This window comes from Homo sapiens, chromosome 16, assembly GCF_000001405.40.
Source record: "Homo sapiens chromosome 16, GRCh38.p14 Primary Assembly".
In the NCBI taxonomy this organism is placed as follows: Eukaryota; Metazoa; Chordata; class Mammalia; order Primates; family Hominidae; genus Homo; species Homo sapiens.
This window is the reverse complement of record NC_000016.10, coordinates 67,360,612-67,381,295: the sequence shown is the minus strand read 5'-3', so window position 1 is coordinate 67,381,295 and position 20,684 is coordinate 67,360,612. Positions and strand designations below refer to the sequence as shown.

The window sequence follows — 20,684 nt, the reverse complement described above, 5'->3', positions numbered from 1 at the left end:
GGAACTCCGGTTGTAATGATGCCAATCTTCTATACTTAAACTTTTTTTTTTTTTTTTTTTTTTTTCTGAGGCAGAGTTTTGTTCTTGTTGCCCAGGCTGGCTGAAGTGCAATGGCGGGATCTCAGCTCACTGCAACCTCCACCTCCTGGGTTCAAGCAATTCTCCTGCTTCAGCCTCCTGAGTAGCTGGGATTATAGGCACATGCCACCACGCCCTGCTAATTTTTGTATTTTTAGTAGAGATGGGGTTTCACCATGTTTGCCAGGCTGGTCTCAAACTCCTGACCTCAGGTGATCCACCCACCCCAGCCTCCCAAAGTGTTGGGATTACAGGCGTGAGCCACTGTGCCCAGCCTTAAACTGTAATATGCTTACAAATCACCTGGGGATCTTGCTAAAAATAGATTTTAATGCAGTAGGTCTGAGGTGAGGCCCCACTTGTTTAGCAAGCTCCCAGGTGATACTAATGTGGATCACATCTTGAGTAGGAGAGTTCTAGAAGGTGGAAAACAAGGCTGCAAAAGCTTATTTATCACCAGTAAGCCAAAATACTATACTGGGCCTCCTGGCTGAATGAAAGTAAGTATCTAGTGGACAAATACCTACTTTTAATTTCAAAGTAGGTAAGTGGAGACTGATATCTTGATTATTCGGGCCTGTGAGTATCAGATAGTGCTGAGAATTATTTATTTATTTAGTGCTGAGATTTAACAATGGAAATTCAGTGCTTCCACATCAGAACTTTGAAATCAAGTTCCTTGTATAAATCCATGTACCCATAATTTGCTTAGGGGTGCTAAGCTAGTCTGTCAAGCGCAAACTTTATCTAACATACTGGCCTAAACTATGCTGATAATAAAGTAGTACAATCAAGATTTAAAAAGGATATTATTTTTCACTTATCACAATGGCAAAATTTGAAAAAATGCCCAGTGTTGGCAGAGGGGAGTGAAAGGGGCATTCAAGTACACTGCTGAGGTGGGAGTAAACTGAAACAATTTTCTTGGGAGTGATTTATGTAACAAAAGCCTCAAAAATATCCCATCCTTTGACTCACTAATTCTACTTCTAGGACTGTCTCCTAGGAAAATAGTCTGAAATGTACACAAAGATTTCTGTACATAGACATTAATAGCAGCATTATTTATAATAGTATAAATATTAAATATTAGGACTCTCAGCTCCATCAAAAGGGAAGAAGGTTAATCTCAGAAAAGCATTTGATTCTAGGGTCTTTTCCTTCACTTCAGGTCTTTCTTTTGAATGTTTAGAAATAATTTAAAATCATTTTATTCTAAATATTATATAACCATTATAAAAACAACTATATAGAGGACAAAATAGATAAATATGGTATATTCTTGTGATACTGTAGAAATGCCTACACTATGAAATTAATAACATTAGGATGTAGAAATCAGGTCTGTGATTACTTGAGGTCAAGAGTAGGGGAAACTGACTACACGAAGGTATGAAGAAACTTTCTAGAAATGTTCTGTATTTTGATTGAGATCAAACTTAAAATGTGTGCATCTAATTATATGTAAATTATTTTTTAAAACCAGGACACAGTTTTATTATTATTATTTTTTGAGAGGGAGTCTTGCTCTGTTGCCTAGGCTGGAGTGCTCAGCTCATTGCAACCTCTGCCTCCTGGGTTCAAGCAATTCTGCTACCTCAGCCTCCCGAGTAGCTGGGATTACAGGGACTTGCCACCACGCGCAGCTAATTTTTGTATTTTTAGTAGAGACAGGGTTTCACCATGTTGGCCAGGCTGGTCTTGAACTCCTGAGCTCAAGTGATCCGCCCACGTTGGCCTCCCAAAGTGCTGGGATTACAGGAATGAGCCACTGCACCCGGCCTATTTTTATTATTATTTTTCTTGAGACAGGGTCTCTCTTTCACCCAGGCTGGATTGCAGTGGCATGATCAAGGCTTACTCTAACCTTGAACTGCTGGGCTCAAGTGATCCTTCTGCCTCAGCCTCTTTGGCTCTATAGGTGCACACCACTATGCCTGGCTAATTTCTTATTTTTTGTAAAGACGGATTCTCACTATGTTTCCCAGACTGGTCTCAACTCCTGGACTCAGTCAATCCTCCTGCTTTGTCCTCCCAAAGTGCTGGGATTGCAGGTGTGAGCCACTGCACCTGCCCAGCCACAATTGTAAATTTGGAGTTAAAAATATAGAGAGGTATGGTAGAAGAAAATATACCAAAAACACTAATGGAAGTTATTGCTGGATCATGGGGTTATATTTTCCTTGTATTTTCCAAACTTTGTATAAAGAACATGTTCTTGGTGTTATAATCACAAAAGCATGTGTCATTCTCAAAATTAATGGCAATAGTAACAACATTTGTACATGCTTTCCACTGACAAGAGCTTCATCTGGTAACTCAAGCCACCTGCATTACAATTCTCTGAGGCAAGATGATTGTTTCTGTTAACTGCCAGGAAAACTGATGACCAAGTAGGCCAAAGGCAGCCACGTGAGCTAGCATGATGAAGGTTACTAAATGGGTCATCTATAAACAAACAGTTGTCTTGAGAGGCCTCATATATCATGGCTTTCCTCAACTTACCATAAGTATGTGACTGTTGCCCACTCACAATTGAGATGGCAGCACCTTCCTCCAACTGTTGAATTTTTTCTGACAAAATGAGGTTTTCCTCCAGCACTCTGACCAGTTTTTGCTTCAAACTTTCCTTTAGATTAGAAAACAAAATACAAATACATTAAGAATCTGACATTCTAGGCTGGGTGCCGTGGCTCACGCCTGTAATCCTAGCACTTTGGGAGGCTGAGGTGGATGGTTTGCCTGAGCTCAGGAGTTCGAGACCAGCCTGGGCAACACGGTGAAACCCCGTCTCTACTAAAATACAAAAAATTAGCCAGGCATGGTGGTGTGCACCCGTAACCCCAGCTACTCGGGAGGCTGAGACAGGAGAATTGCTTGAACCTGGGAGGCGGAGGTTGCAGTGAGCTGAGAAAGTGCCATTGCACTCCAGCCTGGGCAACAGAGCGAGAATCCGTCTCAAAAAAAAAAAAAAAAAAAAAAGAATCTGACATGCTAAGGTGTGTTTAGAGAACTGAAAGATCTTTTCCTCTATTTAGTGATAAACTGATTGGAAGTCAGCATCTCTTTCTCACTAGAATTTTAATTCATTGGTAAATACAGCTCAAAAGCAGTAAACAAATTTATTACATGGACTAGCAATCTTTCTTATGAGTTATCTACTACTCTTGCAGAACAAACATTTGTCATTTTGACAAATGGCCAGCATTCTTAGTGATCTATCTAAAGTTTCTAGAACTGAACTTGGTGTCTGAAAATCCTCTAATGTTAAGAAAAGGCGGCTGAGGCCGGGTGCAGTGGCTCAGGCCTGTAATTGCAGCACTTTGGGAGGCTGAGGCAGGCGGATCATGAAGTCAAGAGATTGAGACCATCCTGGCCAACATGGTGAAACCTTGTCTCTACTAAAAATACAAAAATTAGCTGGGCATGGTGGCGTGTGCCTGTAGTCCTAGCAACTTGGGAGGCTGAGGCAGGAGAATCGCTTGAACCCGGGAGGCGGAGCTTGCAGTGAGCCGAGATCGCACCATTGCACTTCAGCCTGAGTGACAGAACAAGACCCCATCTCAAAAAAAAGAAGAAAAAAGGCGGCCAGGTGCAGTGGCTCATGCCTGTAATCCCAGCACTTTGGGAGGCTAAGGTGGGTGGATCACCTAAGGTCAGGAGTTTGAGACCACCTCGGCCAACATGGCGAAACCCTGTCTCTACTAGAAATACAAAAATTAGCTGGGCATGGTGGTGGGCACCTGTAATCCCAGCTACTTGGGAGGCTGAGGCAGGAAGAATTGCTTGAACCTGGGGGGCAGAGGTTGCAGTGAGCCGAGATCGTGCCACTGCGCTCGAGGCTGGGTAACAGAGCAAGACTCTGCCTCATGAAAAGAAAAGAAAAGAAAAGAGAAAAGGGAACAAAGCATGGGGATATGAGTTGCTTCTTCCTTTCCTAGAGCCAGCAGGCTGATGCTCTAGAATGGCCCTTAGCCCCTGGTTCAGGGCTCTCAGCTCGCTTAGAAGGGAGGAAAGACAATCCCAGATACATTTGCTGGGGTGAAACCATAACCTTCAAGAACATTATCCTAAACATTTCCACTCTAGAGCTATTTTTTGGAATTTTTGTTTGTTTCTTCTTATTTCAAGTCTTTCTTTAGAATTTTTGGATTAGGGTTAGGATGAGGGAGTCATCCCTGCAGAACTTCCAAGTTGTCCCTGTCCTAGCAAGTTTTGTATTCCTGCTGTGCCCAGACTTTTGCCATATTTTGGTTAGGTGTTCACGGTGATGCTGATCATTAAGGCAGAGATGTTGTAGTTCTGCTGCTCTGTCCTTTTCTAAAGGGAGATGAGAGGGGCATACCATGTCATTAGGGACCAGCTGCGCAGCCTCCTTCAGTTCAAGCTCCCTCCTGCAGAATGCTTTCATCGTGTCTTCAGGATGTGAGCAACACCTCGGCTGAGAAGGAGCCGGGACTACCAAAGACAGAAGCAAATCTCGGGCAGGACCTGCCAAAAATTCAGGATGGGCACACAGGCCAATCTTAAAAGCTAAGGCACAGCATTCCTAGTCAGTAACTACCAGCTCTCTGGATCAAATAGGCTAATGTATTATCTCCTTTTTACCAGAACTTAGTAAGTGGCAGAAAGAGGTGTTTTTAAGAGGACAAGAAATTATATCCTACATCCTCTATGGAGAAACAACAGCAGCCCCTTGTGAGTGCATAATTCCTTAGTCATTGATTAGTGGCCCTGGGGATAATTTCCTACAAAATGGGAGCAATAGGTCAACATGAGAAGGAAAATAACTGTGTTAGGATTTCTTCTTCTGTATGTCCCTTTAGATATTTTTTAAAAAGTTTTTTTAACCCCAAACAACGTTTAAGTTTCTAGTTTTTTTGTTTTTTTCATTTGTTTGTTTGTTTTCCGAGACGGAGTCTTGCTCTGTTGCCCAGGCTGGAGTGCCATGGTGTGATCTCGGATCACTGCAAACTCCACCTCCTGGGTTCAAGCAGCTCTCCCGCCTCAGCCTCCCCAGTAGCTGGGATTACAGGCGCACACCACTACGCCTGGCTAATTTGTGTATTTTTAGTAGGGACAGGGTTTCACCATGTTGGCCAGGCTGGTGTCGAACTCCTGACCTCATGATCCACCCACCTCGGCCTCCCAAAGTGCTGGGATTACAGGCGTTAGTCACCGCATCCAGCCAAGTTTCTAGTTTATATTTAAAATTTTACCACCAACGAAATTTCCTTAATTATTCTTCTATTAAATAGCCAACAAACATGTTAAGGATCAAAAAGAAAATAACAACAAATAAATGCATGAAGCCAACATTTGCAAAACTGTTTTCTCCCATGTTTCTAAAGAACGAACCCCTAAAGGGAGTCCAGGTCATTTACTCATTCGAGATTTTCAAATCATAACATTCTAACAGTCATCTCAAAACTCTGATGATCAAACCCAATTTCTGTTGTATTCATTATTGGCACTTTCCCAAGGATCACAAAATCTTTAAAAAAATTAATATAGTCACTAATTTACATATCTGGTTACTCTATATATTACCAAAGACTAGCAAATATTTACAGGAGGAACAAAACAATCATTATAAAATAATTAGAAGAGGTGCTGCTTTTAAAAAATAATGTAGAATATGAGAAAAATGTAGATTTGTTAACTATGATGTTTCTGAGATGTTTCAGGATGTGATCATGAGAACAACTTTCCTTGCAAGTGAAGAGAGCTAAGTGGCTTTTAGCAGAACACAGAGCAGAGGAAAAGTCCAACTCCTGTCCAAGGACAGAGAATGCATTCACTCACCGAGAAACTTCTTGTTGAGGAGGAGGGAGCCGGAGCCATTCCAGTGCTTATCCACAAGCTCCAGGAGCTGTCTGAGGACAGTGGCCACATGGGGGGTTCTGGCAGAGATGGGGGGACTGTGGTTTCCAGCCAAACCGTGCAAACTACCCAGGTCACTAGAGAGAGGCTCAAGAGAAAAAAAAAAGCAAAAACAAACAAACAAAAAACCCAACCATTTGTCATTCTTACACAATAAAGGAAGTAAGAATTTAGACATTGAGACTTTTTTTTTTTTAATTTTTTTTTGGAGACGGAGTCTCGCTCTGTCACCCAGGCTGGAGTGCAGTGGTGCGATCTGGGCTCACTGCAATCTCTGCCTCCCAGGTTCAAGCGATTCTTGTGCCTCAGCCTCCCAAGTAGCTGGGATAGGCGTGTGCCACCACACCCGGCTAAGTTTTGTATTTTTAGTAGAGATGGGGTTTCACCATATTGGCCAGGCTGGTCTCCAACTCCTGACCTTGTGATCGTCCCGCCTCAGCTTCCCAAAGTGTTGGGATTACAGGTGTGAGCCACTGTGCCTGGCCTAGACTTTTTAAAAAGTGAAAAAGATGATTTCATCTTTCAGTTTGGATTTGAGTAGCATAATATTATTTATGTCTAAGACAAAAACATAAGATATTCCAGGATAATATCAAAGGTAACAGTATCTTGTATCATAATTTTTAATAGAAATTTTCAGGCCAGGCCCGGTGGCTCATGCCTGTAATCCCAGCACTTTGGGAGGCCGAGGCAGGCAGATCATTTGATCTCAGGAGCTCGAGACCAGCCTGGCCAATATGGTGAAATCCTACCTGTACTAAAAACACAAAAATTAGCCAGGCATGATGGTGGGCAGCCTGTAATCCCAGCTACTCAGGAGGATGAGGCAGGAGAATTGCTTAAACTCGGGAGGCAGAGGTTGCAGTGAGCCGAGATCGTGCCACTGCTCTCAAGCCTGGGCAACAGGGCAAGACTATGTCACAAAATAATAATAGAAATTTTCAGAAGAAAATTAAAAATTTGTTGTTTGACACCTACATCTATGGTTCAATATGTTATATAATAGAAATATTAAATTGCAGAACATTTTAAAAATAGTATATTTTATAAAACAAATGGGAGTAATATAAAAAATTACTCTAAGGTTATATTTAATATATTAATATATAATAAACATAAATATTCTATAATATTTTATGTAAGACAGGGTCTAGCTTTGTACCCAGGCTGGAGTGCAATGGTGTGATCTTGGCACACTGTAGTCTTGAACTCCTGGGTTCAAGCAATCCTCCTATCCCAGCTTCTCGAATAGCTGGAACTACAGGTGTGCACCACCGTGCCTGGCTAATTCTATATTTTATTTATGTGTTTATTTATTTTTTGAGATAGAGTCTTGCTCTATTGCCCAGGCTGGACTGTAGTCGCATGATCTCAGTTCACTGCAACCTCTGCCTCCCAGGTTCAAGCAATTCTCATGACTCAGTCAACCCAAGTAGCTGGGATAATAGGTGTGCACCACCATGCCCAGCTAATTTTTGTATTTTTAGTGGAGACAGTGTTTTGCCAAGTTGGCCAGGCTGGTCAAAAACTCCTGGCCTAAGTGATCTGCCTGCCTTGGCCTCGCAAAGTGCTGGGATTACAGGCATGAGCCACCGTGCCTGGCTTTTTTTTTTTTTTTTTTTTTTTTGAGACAGAGTCTTGCTCTGTCACCCAGGCTGGAGTGCAGTGGCCCAATCTTGGCTTGTTGCAACCTCTGCCTCCTAGGTTCAAGTGATTCTCCTACCTCAGCTTCCTAAGTAGCTGGGACTACAGGCGTGCATCACCACACCCAGCTAATTTTTTGTATTTTTAGTAGAGATGGGGTTTCACCGTGTTGGCCAGGATGGGCTCAAACTCCTGACTTCAGGTGATCTGCCTGCCTCGCCTCCCAAAGTGCTGGGATTACAGGTGTGAGCCACTGTGCCCGGTCCATGCCCGGCTTTAAAAAAAAAATGTAAAAAATGCTCTTCTTGGAAATTTTCTGACTTACACCTTTCAGAAATTAAAAAGTATATTTCTTTTTTATTTATATTCAAGCAGCTCTTTTAAAGCTTTCCATAAAGAGAAAAATAATGTCTAACAGAAAAAAAGGAGCTTTTAAGATCGTCTAGAAAAGCATATTGAAATTTTAACATTTATTTATTTGTTTGTTTATTTATTTTTTTTTGTAGAGAGAGGGTCTCCTATGTTGCCCAGGATGATCTTAAACTCCTGGCTTCAAGTAATCCTCCACCTTGGCCTCCCAGAGTGTTGGGATTACAGGTGTGAGCCACAGCATCTAGCCAGATTTTAACAATATAACATGAAATAGAGGTTAAAAAATTTCCTAGAGCATGTCTGATTAATATAACATCCCAAATATGCTAAATGTTGCTGGATCTTCACTCTGAATACAGTAACACACAGTTAGTGTTCTTGTCTGGTAAAATAGGCATAGGGGACTGAGAATGAAAAGAGGCCAAAAAACTAAATAAAACATTACAAGACTGCCCCCTTTGGTGCACAAAAATTACAGCCACTTCCAAAGTTCTGAAAACTGAATAGGAAGTCTTTAACAGTAGAAAACAAAAACAAAAAAACACTCCAAACAAACAAACAAAAACCCTGTAAACCCACCCCAATGTGTAAGATTTCCAACAACTGAAAAATAAGTAACTAGAAATGGCTGTTTTTGACCAAATCTCCTGCTTCCTTACAGGGCAGTAAATTATTAATTGACAAATGGTTCCTATGGCAAAGGTTCTTGGGTACAAGGGAAGAGAAGACTCTAAGAGCTGGGGTTCCTCTAACCACATGGATGGATCTTCCTCATGATGGAAGTAGAACCTGGAGAAAAATGAACATTCAAAAAGACAAGAGAGGAGAGTAGAAGGCATTCTCCACAAGGGATGTATGCAAAGGCAGGAGCAAAACTTGTTAAGAAGTGATAATGATAAAAGTTTTATTGTATGACACTATCATACTAGGATATTTTATTTTATTTTATTTTTTTTTTTTTGGAGACAGAGTCTCACTCTGTTGCCTAGGCTGGAGTGCAATGGCGCGATCTCGGCTCACCACAACCTCCGCCTCCCAGGTTCAAGTGATTCTCCTGCCTCAGCCTCCCAAGTAGCTGGGATTACAGGCAGGTACCACCAAGCCCGGCTAATTTTCTATTTTTAGTAGAGATGGGATTTCTCCACGTTGCTCAGGCTGGTCTCCAACTCCCGACCTCAGGTGATCCGCCCACCTCGGCCTCCCAAAGTGGTGGAATTACAGATGTAAGCCACCGTGCCTGGCCACTAGGATATTTTATAAAATGAATTACATGTATATTGTTTATGTGGGAATGGTTCTTGATTTTTAAATCATTCTCTGAACTAAAAATCCCTTGGATAATCTAATTCATCTTCTGTTTGCTTCTACATTGGAAAAAAATTTTAAATCCTTTTAACTTCTAGACAGAAAAGCAAAGCAATGCTTTTATTACTATTATTTTTTACGAAACTGAGTCACTCTGTCACCCAGGCTGGAGTGCAGTGGCGTGATCTCGGCTCACTGCAACCTCCACCTCCTGGGTTCAAGTGAGTCTCCTGCCTCAGCCTCCCGAGTAGAGTAGCTGGCACTACAGGCGTGCGCCACCACACCCAGCTAATTTTTGTATTTTCAGTAGAGATGGGGTTTCGCCATGTTGGCCTGGCTGGTCTTGAACTCCTGACCTGAGGTGATCCACCCACTCAGCCTCCCAAAGTGCTGGGATTACAGGCATGCGCCACTGTGCCCAGCCTGAAGCAATGCTTTTATAAGAACTATTTCATGTGTGGCCGAAGCAAATGTGTAAATATGATGAGACTGTAAACATAGATGCTACAGAGTTCAATCTTCAGCCGGAAGTAGATCAGGGACAGTTCTCCCTGTGATATAGGTGAGAAAATGGCAGCAGTGGGGGAATGACTTTCCCAAGGGCAGAAGGCTCAACAGGTGTTAGCTTGGCAGTATTAGCCACCAGCCTCTGAAAATCTCTTTGAATTTCTAGCCCTGTTGGTCAGAACCACCTCCATTCCCAACAGAACCCTCATTCTGGTCTCGAACCTGACCTGTTTCTCGCACAAACACAAACAAGCCAACACTTGCCTCGCTGCCTGTAGCATCTTGGAAACCATGCTTTAGATTCAGGTTGGCAAGGATATTGTCCTTCCATTTGAATCCTCTCTTCGATGGGCTTAGTGACCTCTTGGTAAAAATCTTTCTGTGTTCTGAAGTCCCAGGAGACAACAGCAGTGTCCGCAGAGGAGTTGTCCTGTTTCCCAGGACAGCGTTGTTTGGGACAGAACCATGTGCTGGTGTTAAATCATCCAGGCTGGTAGATAATTGTTGCTCTACATTGACAAGTACAGCAGGGTCACTGTTGAAATGGGTTGTGGCATACAGATCTGTGGAGGAAACAGGCTAACAGATGAACCTGCCCTCTGACTGCCTCATGTCTCACTTCTATCCATACCTTGCCTGTAGTCCAAGGGTCATAATAACCACTCCCTAGCATACATCCTCAACTCTCTGACAAAACTCCAACTCTGGTTAAATCTAACCGTCCACATGTTCCAAGCCTACACCAGAGCAGGGGAACATAGCTGGAGAAAAAAACGCATCTGTTCTGACCTTTCTCACTTTAAACTCATGACCACTATTGTAACTGCGCCCTTAGTGGTGCCCAGTTCTTCTGATTTTTTTTTTTTTTTTTTTTTTGAGAGAGTCTCGCTCGATTGCCCAGGGTGGAGTGCAGTGGCACAATCTCGGCTCACTGCAACCTCTGCCTCCTGAGTTCAAGATATTCTCCTGCCCCAGCCTCCCGAGTAGCTGGGTCTACCCACCATGCCCAGCTAATTTTTGTATTTTTAGTAGAGATGGGGTTTCACCATATTGGCCATGCTGGTCTTGAACTCCTGGCCACAAGTGATCTGCTGGCCTTGGCCTCCCAAAGTGCTGGGATTACAGGTGTGAGCCACTGTGCCCGGCATCTCCTAATATAATACTCTGGCCAATTTACTCTTCTATTCTCTGAGACAAATATTTCACATCTCTCTTCAAACTTCCAACACCTTCTCTTCCCTCCTTACACCCAGGTGCCAACCTCCTTTATTTCCCTGAGAGGCAATCAAAGAAAACATCTACATGATCACACCATCAAATCTACCAACTCTCCTGTATCTGTATTAATAAATTCTCTGCCTTCCTTCTTATTACAATAGATGAACTATCTGTGCTTTTATTTAAAACCAGCCTCTCCACTGGTGGACTGGATTCCATTTTCTTGTAACGGTCCCTTTTCTCCCTGGCATCATCAGTTTTCCCTCTACTAGATCACTTCTACCAGGATCTCCTTGACCCCATCCCTTCTCCAGCTAGTTCCATTTCTCTGCTTCCCTTTACTGCAAAACTCCTTGAAGGGGTTGATATGGGTTGGCTGTGTCCCCACCCAAATCTCATCTTGAATTGTAGCTCCCATAATTCCCACATGACATGGGAGGGACCTGGTGGGAAGTAACTGAATTATGGGGGCGGGTCTTTCCCATGCTGTTCTTGGTGATAGTAAGTCTCACGAGATCTGATGGTTTTATAAAGGGGAGTTCCCCTACACAAGCTCTCTTGCCTGCCACCATGTAAGACGTGACTTTGCTCCTCATTCACCTTCCACCATGATTGTGAGGCCTCCCCAGCCATGTGGAACTGTGAGTCAATTAAACCTCTTTCCTTTATAAATTACCCTGTCTTGGGTATGTCTTTATTAGCAGTGTGAGAACAGACTAATACAAGGGTTGTCTATATTCAGTAACTTTACTGCCTTGCTTCCAATTTTTTTCTTGAATTCACCTCAGTGAGGCTTTCATTCTCATGCATCCCCTGAAGCTGTTCATTAATGTCTTCTTCATTGCCAAATACCATAATCACTTCTCAGTCCCAGGCTCCCTCCCTCCCTATCAGGAGAAGCATTTGACCTAGCATTGATCACTCCCTCCTTCTTGAAACACATTCTTCACTTGGCTTCCAGGATATTACTTCCTCTTGGCTTTTTCCCCTCTATCTTACTGGCTGCTGCTTTCTCACTCTCCATGATGGTTTCTCTTTATCTACTTCTAATTGTTGGAGGGCTCAGGACCAGTCCTCAGATCTCTTTTCTATCTATATTCACTCTTTTGGTGAGATTTCATCCAGTCTCAGAGTTTTACTGTCACCCATACACTTATAATCTCCAAATTTATATTTCCAGCCATACCTTCTTCCCTAAACTCTGGACTAGTATGTCCAATTACCAAATTGGCATCTCTGGAAAGTTTTAATAAGGCACCTGAAACTTAAGATGTCCAAAACCCAACTCTTGATATTTATCTTAAAATCTCTACCTCCCATTCTTTTCCATCTTAGTAAATGAAAGCTCTGTTCTTCTAGTTATTCAGACTCAAAACCACAGAATTACCATTGACCCTCTTTCTCCCACACTTTATCCTGGATCCATCAGCAAACCATGGAGTGTCATCTTCAGAACATATTCAGAATCTGACTACTTCTCACCACCTCCACCGCTATCTGTCTAGCCCAAGCCATCATCATCTGTTACGCTGATTCCAATCTCTCCAAAGCATTTTAAAAAAATTTCTACCCTCCTCCCCATAGTCTATTCTCAGCCCAACATTCACAGTAATTCTTAAGTGAGATCACATCACTCCCTTGCTACAAACTCTCCAACTCCTTCTGATCTCACCCAGAAAAAAGTCTGGCATCTTTCTTACTTCATCTATACACTCTACTTTCTTTGCTGAGGCCGCACTGGCCTCCCTGAGGTTCCTTGTACATGAAAAGTATGTTCCAGCCTCAGGACTTTTGCATTTATTCCCACTGTCTAGAAAGTTCTCCTCCCAGACCCACATGGCTTATACTCCCACTTCATTCAAGTCTCTACTTTTATGGTGCCTCATCAGAGAAGCTTTCTGGACCATTCTATCTAAAGCATCGCCTCCTCCTTATCACGCTCTATGCCCTTATATAATTTTTTCACAGCATTTACCATAACCTGACATATATTTGCATGCTAAAATGTTTATCATGTGTCTTACCCCATGAGAATGTAAGCTCTATGAAAGTAGGGACTGTCTTCTTATTATGGTAAAATATACATGGAACTTTATTTTGGTTGCTACTTTATCTCCAGAGCTAGAACAGTGTCTGGGACACTGTAGGTGTTCAATGAGTTTGGTTGAATAAATAAGTAACAGAAGAGTGATCTCTGTCACTAACTCTGAAACTAACTTCTGTTTTTGTTTTCAAGATGGAGTCTTGCTCTGTTGCCCATGGAGTGCAGTGGCCCGATCTTGGCTTACTGCAACCTCTGCCTCCCAGGTTCAAGCAATTCTCCTGCCTCTCAGCCTCCTGAGTAGCTGGGATTACAGGCGCATGCCACCATGCTCAGCTATTTTGTGTGTGTGTATTTTTGGTAGAGACGGGGTTTCACCATGTTGGCCAGGCTGGTGTCGAACTCCTGACCTCGTGATCCACCCGGCTCAGCCTCCCAAAGTGCTGGGATTACAGGCATGAGCCACCGTGCCCAGCCTGAAACTAACTTCTTCTGAAAGTAAGTCAGAATAGAAGTGACTGTGAGTAAAGACTAGATGTCCTGGGATGCTGCTTAACTAAAATAGCAAGTAGCTGCAATGCTCACTTTCCTACAAATTTTCCCTAATATATATATCATGTTAAACTCATACCCTACAGATTTCTCGAGGTTCCAAGAACCACTGGTGACCCTAAAATACAACTTAAGAAATGCTAATACAATTTCAGAAGGGTTAATTCCAAAATTTTCACTTATATCTTCTATCTTCATGCCTATGAAGAAGACCTGTAAACTGACAGGAAGCTGTTACCTGAACTAAGCTTCAAAAGCCTTCCAGTGCTGGAGTCAGGGTTTGACAGAGAAGTTAATAAGTCTCCACAGGAATGTGAAGCGGTGGTCTTTATGTCATTTGAAGGCTTTATGCTATACTCTTGATAGTTCTTGCTTCTCTGAGGCCTTTTACCAAGACTTCCATGCAGGGATAGAGTTTGAGAATAACAACTGTCATAATTTTCCAGACCAACATCTGAAGGTAACTGATAGGGATGGATCTGGCTAGAATCACCCACATCCAGGCATTTACTCAATGAGGCATCATGGGTAAGATGAAAAGTATCAGGTTTTGGTATCAATTCCTTTTCTGGAGAAGAACCTGAAGACTTATTGTCCAAAAAAGATACTTGGTACCCTTCTCTAGTCATCTTCTCTGGGGATCGGACTGTGGACTGACGAGGCGAGTAGTGTCTGAACTCTAAACACCACCAAGGCAAAAAAACAAAACATGATAAGAATTCTTTGTGGCCTAGCTGGGAGTACCTCTGTTCACTGAACATATTCTCTGTCTGCCAGAAACACCTCTCAGGAAGAGGTGGTTTATAATTCTGATCAATGGTAGCATAAAGTGATGAAAGGACTTCCACATGGAACACCACCACCACCAATAAAATGTGGGACTTTTGTGTAAACAGTAAAGAATCTATAACATTCTGGAGACAAATTCTGTTTCTTTTTTTTTTTTGAGACAGGGTCTCACTCTGTCGCCCAGGCTGGAGTGCAGTGGCGCAATCTCAGCTCAGTGCAACCTTCGCTTCCCAGAGGGAAGCGATTCTCGTACCTCAGCCTCCCGAATAACTGGGATTACAGGCACATGCCACCATGCCCAGCTAGCTTTTGTATTTTTAGTAGAGATGGGGTTTCACCGTGTTGGCCAGGCTGGTCTCCAACTCCTGACCTCAAGTGATCCACCCGCCTCGGCCTCCCAAAGTGCTGAGATTATAGGCAAGCACCACCATGCCCGGCTAATTTTTGTATTTTTTGTAGAGATGGAGTTTCACCATGTTGGCCATGCTGGTCTCAAACTCCTGACCTCAGGTGATCCACCTGCCTCGGACTCCCAAAATGCTGGGATTACAGGCATGAGCCACTGTGCCTGGTCCGAAAAAAATTTTTTTAATTAGCCAGGTGTGGTGGTAGTCCTAACTACTTGGGAGGCTGAGGTGGGAGGATTGCTTGAGCCCAGAAGTTTGAGGTTATTATGAGCTCTGATTGTGCCACTGTACTGTACTCCAGCCTGGGCAACAGATTGAGAACTTGTCTCAAAAATAAAAAAAATTAAAAAAAAAGAGAGAAGGAAGTGGGAAGAGAGAGAGAGAACGAACTGCCTAGAAATCTACACCCATCTAAAATACCCTTCAAGAATGATAGTGAAATAGAGGCATTATCACACAAAGAAAAGCTGAAAGAGCTCATCACTAATAGACCTACATTAAAGTATGTGCCACTGTAAGGCAAAGGAAAATGATATCAGAAGGGAAGCCTGGGAAGAAAAAGGAAGTGAACAAACAGTAGTAAATTAATGGATAGATTTAAATCTACACTGACTATATAAAAAATAATATCTTGTGAAGTCTTTAAAAATATAGAGAATTAAAATTCATAATAACAACATATAAGTCAGGAAAGAGTAAATGAAATAAAGTACTGTACGGTTTTTGAATTATCCAAAAGAAGACTTAAGGTATTAACAATTTAAAAATTATGTAAGTTAAGGATACATATTATCATTTGGGGAATAATACTAAAAGTATAGAAAATGTATATAACTTATAAACCAGTAGAGAGAAACAAATGGATGAATAAAAAATAATAAATACAAAAGAAGGCAAGAAAGGTAACAAAAAGAATAGTCATCCAACGCAAAAAAAATCAAGAACAAAGGAGGTCAGAATATGCACTCTTTAAGCAGAAAAGTCTCACAGGTTACTAATCATCCAGGACAGTCCCTCACAAAAGCAGAAATTAGTTGACTAAATAGGGCCCCCATATTGAGACATCTTCATCTCCCAAATCCCATCACATCCAGACTTCTCTGATTAGTGTGGGGGAAAAATACTCAGTGAGCAAAATATTTACCATCTTCCTGGTGATTGTCACTTGGCATCTCCCTTCTTGCTACTTCCTGTGTCTAAAAAAAGTTCGAAAGTTTAGGTAGAAGGAAGTCCATGCGCGTTCAAATGTGAGCTTATTAGACTAGGGGTTCAGAATACCTTCCTATTAATGGGAAAGACTATCCTTGCAAGCTAGGGAAACAGACCTTTAAGCAAAGGTCCAGTTTAAGTCTATTTTAAAACAGTCACAATACAAGGAGATTCCAGAGTTGCTTGAATATCCTTAGGAAGTAAAGGACATAGCAAACAATGACTGTACTTTCTCTGCCTTAGATAGCTCATAGAAGGTAGATGAGGGCCACTTTCCAGCTTTGCTTTTTCTGTTTAAAGGACTCTCATGCTTATTTTACCAGCTGATAAAGCTATCAACCACCATAGCTAAGGGGGTTTTAATAGGCTGAAAATTAATCTGAGGCATAACTAGGCAAGGACTGAAGGAAAACAGAAAGCCATCTAGGGTTTGCTTTTAAAAAAATTATCTTAAAGTATTCAGTGTCTTTTTGGTAGTCATGGAGAGAAAGAAATCCCACTTCCTTATTTCTTAAACTAAAAAGATACAGCAAACTATTCAATTTCCTTTTTTCTCACTTCAAGAAGTAATTTCAGAGAAGTTTTTTTGTTTGCTTTTTTATCTAAGAAGTGCTATTTAACTGGAGATTGCAATACTCTTTGTCTCCATTTCCTTAAGTCAATATGGTTTTAAAAAATGGTAACTGAGATTGTTTCTAAGTCACCCAAGTATAATCTCCAAAAACAAAGAAACTGATTAAATGCTTATCTTTTTAAAAGATGAAGGTAGTCTATACCCAAACTGAAAAGAATAGTACTAACTTTTTACTAATTCAGTCTTGATTGTCCAAATTATGGATTAATCAGAGCCTTTGCTGCTTTTCTTTCTCCTCCTGGCTATTTTCTACAATTTTATTGCTCATAAATGTATCAAAGAAAAGGCACAGAAAGGGAGAAGGTGAATATAAAGTAGTCAGTTCTGCTCCTTGTATCATATTCACTCACACAAACAAGTCTTACATAATGGTTGCATCCCTTCTGTCACCAATTTTTTCACTAAAACCTTATTTTTCACTCCTCCCCCATCTTGCATGATCTCTATCTTCCCATTGCCCACAACTTCCATGCCATCTTTACCCCTTAAACTTTACTTTTTCTGTTATACTGCAGAGGCAGCTTTGGGAAAGTCATACCTAAAATGTAAGACTCAGTATTAAAGGGTGTAGGTAGAAAATGTAAGAAGCAAGGCAACAGGAGATGGAGATATTGGATAGAGGGGAGAAAATTTAAAACCAGCCAAAAACTGTAACAGTTGCATTCTTGTTTGAGGACCAAAATGCCTTTCATAGATATGCTAAAGTTATATGTATAAATATATGACATTAGATAACAGGTTAGTGTGAGAGAGAGGGAAATGGGAGATTGAAATTAATGGAGAAGGTACTCTGCATTCTGTCCTGCCCTTTCCTTTAAAAGGGTCTAAAATGCCTTCATCAAACAAGTCCTCTGAGACCTTCATAAATAATTGAGAGCCCACTGAATTATCAGTATTAATCATTGACTAGTCAACAGATCAGCAGGAGAGTGAATACATTACCTGTGTCCCCAGTGGGAAGGTGTCTAATTTCTGATCACGTGTACCATTGCCCTGAGTTGCAGAAGTACTTAGGGAATCCTTTATTTCCCGGTTGGGGAAGGGAATAAAAAGTCCTTTGTTTGAGTCTGTGTTAAAAGAAAAAGCAAACAATAAAGCACTCACTGACCAGACTTCAAAGGCAGCATGTCTAATGGATAGATACTAAAAGGAAAGTCACAAGATTGAGTGCTAGTTCTGGTGCCACCACTTGGAGACCACATGAATTTGAGCAAATCACTTAACCTCTCTACTTCTCTCACTTCGTTTGGAAAACAGAGATGATAAAATCTAAACTGCCTATCTGTTAGGGTTGAGCCAGGTTAAAACAGGATAATGGATATGAAATGGCTTCATAATTTATGAAGTGCTCAACAGAAACTGAGTGGAAGGCAAATATTTTGCACATTTCCTAAGCGAATAAATAATTAACTGTGATACCAATTCCATAATCTCCAACTACAGGGGGAGATGCTGGGAATAGACTCCTGGCATTATACATCTCCAGGGTACTAATCAGCAGTCAGCACTGATTGACCATTTCAAACTAGCCTTTTTCTGCCTTGCTTTCTCTCTTTTGTAAAAAGAGAAAACTAAGCTGGGCGTGGTGGCTCACGCCTGTAATCCCAGCACTTTGGGAGGCTGAGGTGGGCAGATCACTTGAGGTTAGGAGTTCGAGACCAGCCTGACCATCATGGTGAAACTCTGTCTCTACTAAAAATACAAAAATTAGCCGGGCCGGGAGTGGTGGCGCGCGCCTATAATCCCAGCTACTCAGGAGGCTAAGGCAGGAGAATTGCTTGAACCAGGGAGGTGGAGGTTGCAGTGAGCCACGACTGTGCCACTGCACTCCAGCCTGGGCGACACAGTGAGACTCTATCTCAATAAAACAACAACAACAACAACAACAAAAACAAAAAAAAGAGAGAGAAACCAGTCAGGACCTATTTCATGGAGAAGAATGCTAAATCCTTAGGTCTCCCAATGTATTTTTTACAGTTTATTTTGTTTTATTCAATTGTAACTAATGCTATTAGAGAGATTCTTGTTTTATCTTGTTTTTTGGTTACCACACAGAGAATGTGGAAGTATCATCCCCTGCTATTTATAAAATCCTTGTAAATTGATTAAATTAGTGATGGGGCTGGAAATATTCACCATGAGCTTAAATATATTTATTAGTAGTACTTTAGGCTCTGTATATATATTCAAACTTCTGGCCAGGCACGGTGACTCACATTTGTAGTCCCAGCACTTTGGGAGGCTGAGGCGGGCGGATGATGAGGTCAGGAGTTTGAGACCAGCCTGGCCAGCCTGGTGAAATCCCGTCTCTACTAAAAATACAAAAATTAGCTGGGCGTTATGGTGCACACCTGTAATCCCAGCTGCTCGCTAGGCTGAGGCAGGAGAACTGCTTGAACCCAGGAGGTAGAGGTTGCAGTGAGCCGAGATCGCGCCACAGCACTCCAGTCTGGGCGACAGAGCAAGACTCTTTCTCGGGAAGAAAAAACAAAACAAAACAAAACGTATTAGAACACTCTGTATGTTATTTTGTGTGAGATTTGTTTTTGTTTTTGTTTTTTTTAATTTTTACATTAAAAAAAAGTTTTAATAGAAATAGGGTATCCGTATGTTGCCCAGGCTGGTTTAGAACTCCTGGGCTCAAGCAATCTGCCAGCCTTGGCTTCCTAAAGTGTTGGGATTACACGCGTGAGCCACCAGGCCTGGTAAGATTTGTTTTATAGTTAAAGAAAAATAATTTTTTAAAAGTAAAGGAAATAGTGTTCCATTTTCATTAAAAAATACTGTTAGGGCCAGGCATGGTGGCTCATACCTATAATTTCAGCACTTTGGGAGGCCAAGGTGGGTGGATCACCTGAGGTCAGGAGTTCGAGACCAGCGTGGCCAACATGGTGAAACTCCGTCTCTACTAAAAATAAAAAAATCAGCCAGGCGTGGGCGCCTGTAATCCCAGCTACTCAAGAGGCTGAGGCAGGAGAATCGCTTGAACCCGGGAAGCAGAGGTTGCTGTGAGCTGAGATCGCACCATTGCACTCCAGCCTGGGTGACAGAGTGAGACTCCATTTCCAAAAGAAAAGAGAAAATCTCATTAGTATTTTGCAGTTCACCTTTCAAATTCTGATGTTAGTTTAATACATATATTCACAAAAAAGTGATAAATTTTAACTTTTTTTCCTGTATTATAATTTTATTTTTTTACCAATATTTTTACTGTGATTAGAAAAATTATTTTAAAAATAAAAAGTAAAAATAACAAAAACTGTAGCCCAGTTCTGGCCACTTTGGAAACTGTTATCAAGAAGAGCCTGTCAGCAATTCTATCAAAGGCCAGGCACAGTGGCTCGTGTCTGTAATCCCAACACTTTGGGAGGCCCAGGTGGGTGGATCACTTGAGCCCAGGAGTTCAACACCAGCCTGGGCAACATAGTGAGACCCCCATCTCTATTGAAAATACAAAAATGAGCCAGGCTTAGTGGCATGAGTCCCAGCTATTTGGGAGGCTGAGGTGGGAGGAACCCTTAACTTGGGAAGTCGAGACTGCAATGAACCAAGATTGTGCCACTGCACTCCAGCCTGAGTAACAGGAGTGAGACAAGAATGACAAGAAAGAGAGAACGATTCTATTAGGTTGTCATATTTGTACAAACGTTTTTCCACTCTTGATCAATACATTTATTAACGTATAATTCTGGGATTTGAGGTCTTCTGGGGGGACTTGAATGAAAACAAGAGTTTTGCTTTTGTTTAAGGAATTTTTTTCCAGCAGGATTATGTAAGAAGATAGTAGCAAGAATTTGGGCCTTTGTCAAACAATGTGCTCTTATGCTCACTTTCATCTACTGGTTCTGGCAACAGAAAGTCACTACAAGCCAGTGCAACTGAGAGTAGACAGTGAATAAAGCCAGCCTCTTGAGAACCAGCCCCTCCATCCATCTGAGGCTCTAAGATGCCTTCTATTTCTGAATTGCCTTCTGGGACTGAAACGTCCTACTTAAACACAAGATGCTCTTCCAACCACTGGACTCGACAGAACTACTTTTCTGCA

General features: G+C 41.7%; 1 protein-coding gene across 18 annotated transcripts in view; it reads right to left on the bottom strand.

Annotated features, from left to right (window-relative positions):
• LRRC36 (leucine rich repeat containing 36) overlaps positions 1-20,684 on the bottom strand; it is a 58,390-nt gene that overhangs the window by 3,909 nt on the left and 33,797 nt on the right. For 7 of the 18 annotated variants that reach the window (NM_018296.6, XM_005256025.3, XM_005256028.2 and 4 more), the window contains 7 exons: positions 17,582-17,706; positions 15,941-15,992; positions 13,839-14,279; positions 10,054-10,352; positions 5,884-6,049; positions 4,424-4,569; positions 2,584-2,707 (listed from right to left, as the gene is read on the bottom strand). In NM_018296.6, coding sequence (NP_060766.5) covers positions 2,584-2,707; positions 4,424-4,569; positions 5,884-6,049; positions 10,054-10,352; positions 13,839-14,279; positions 15,941-15,992; positions 17,582-17,706 — 1,353 coding nt within the window. Of the gene's footprint in view, positions 1-2,583; positions 2,708-4,423; positions 4,570-5,883; positions 6,050-8,060; positions 8,767-10,053; positions 10,353-13,838; positions 14,280-15,940; positions 15,993-16,074; positions 16,126-17,581; positions 17,707-18,990; positions 19,035-20,684 lie in introns of those variants that run through there. The other 11 variants (XM_005256027.3, XM_047434329.1, XM_011523200.2 and 8 more) reach the window with 9 other exon arrangements.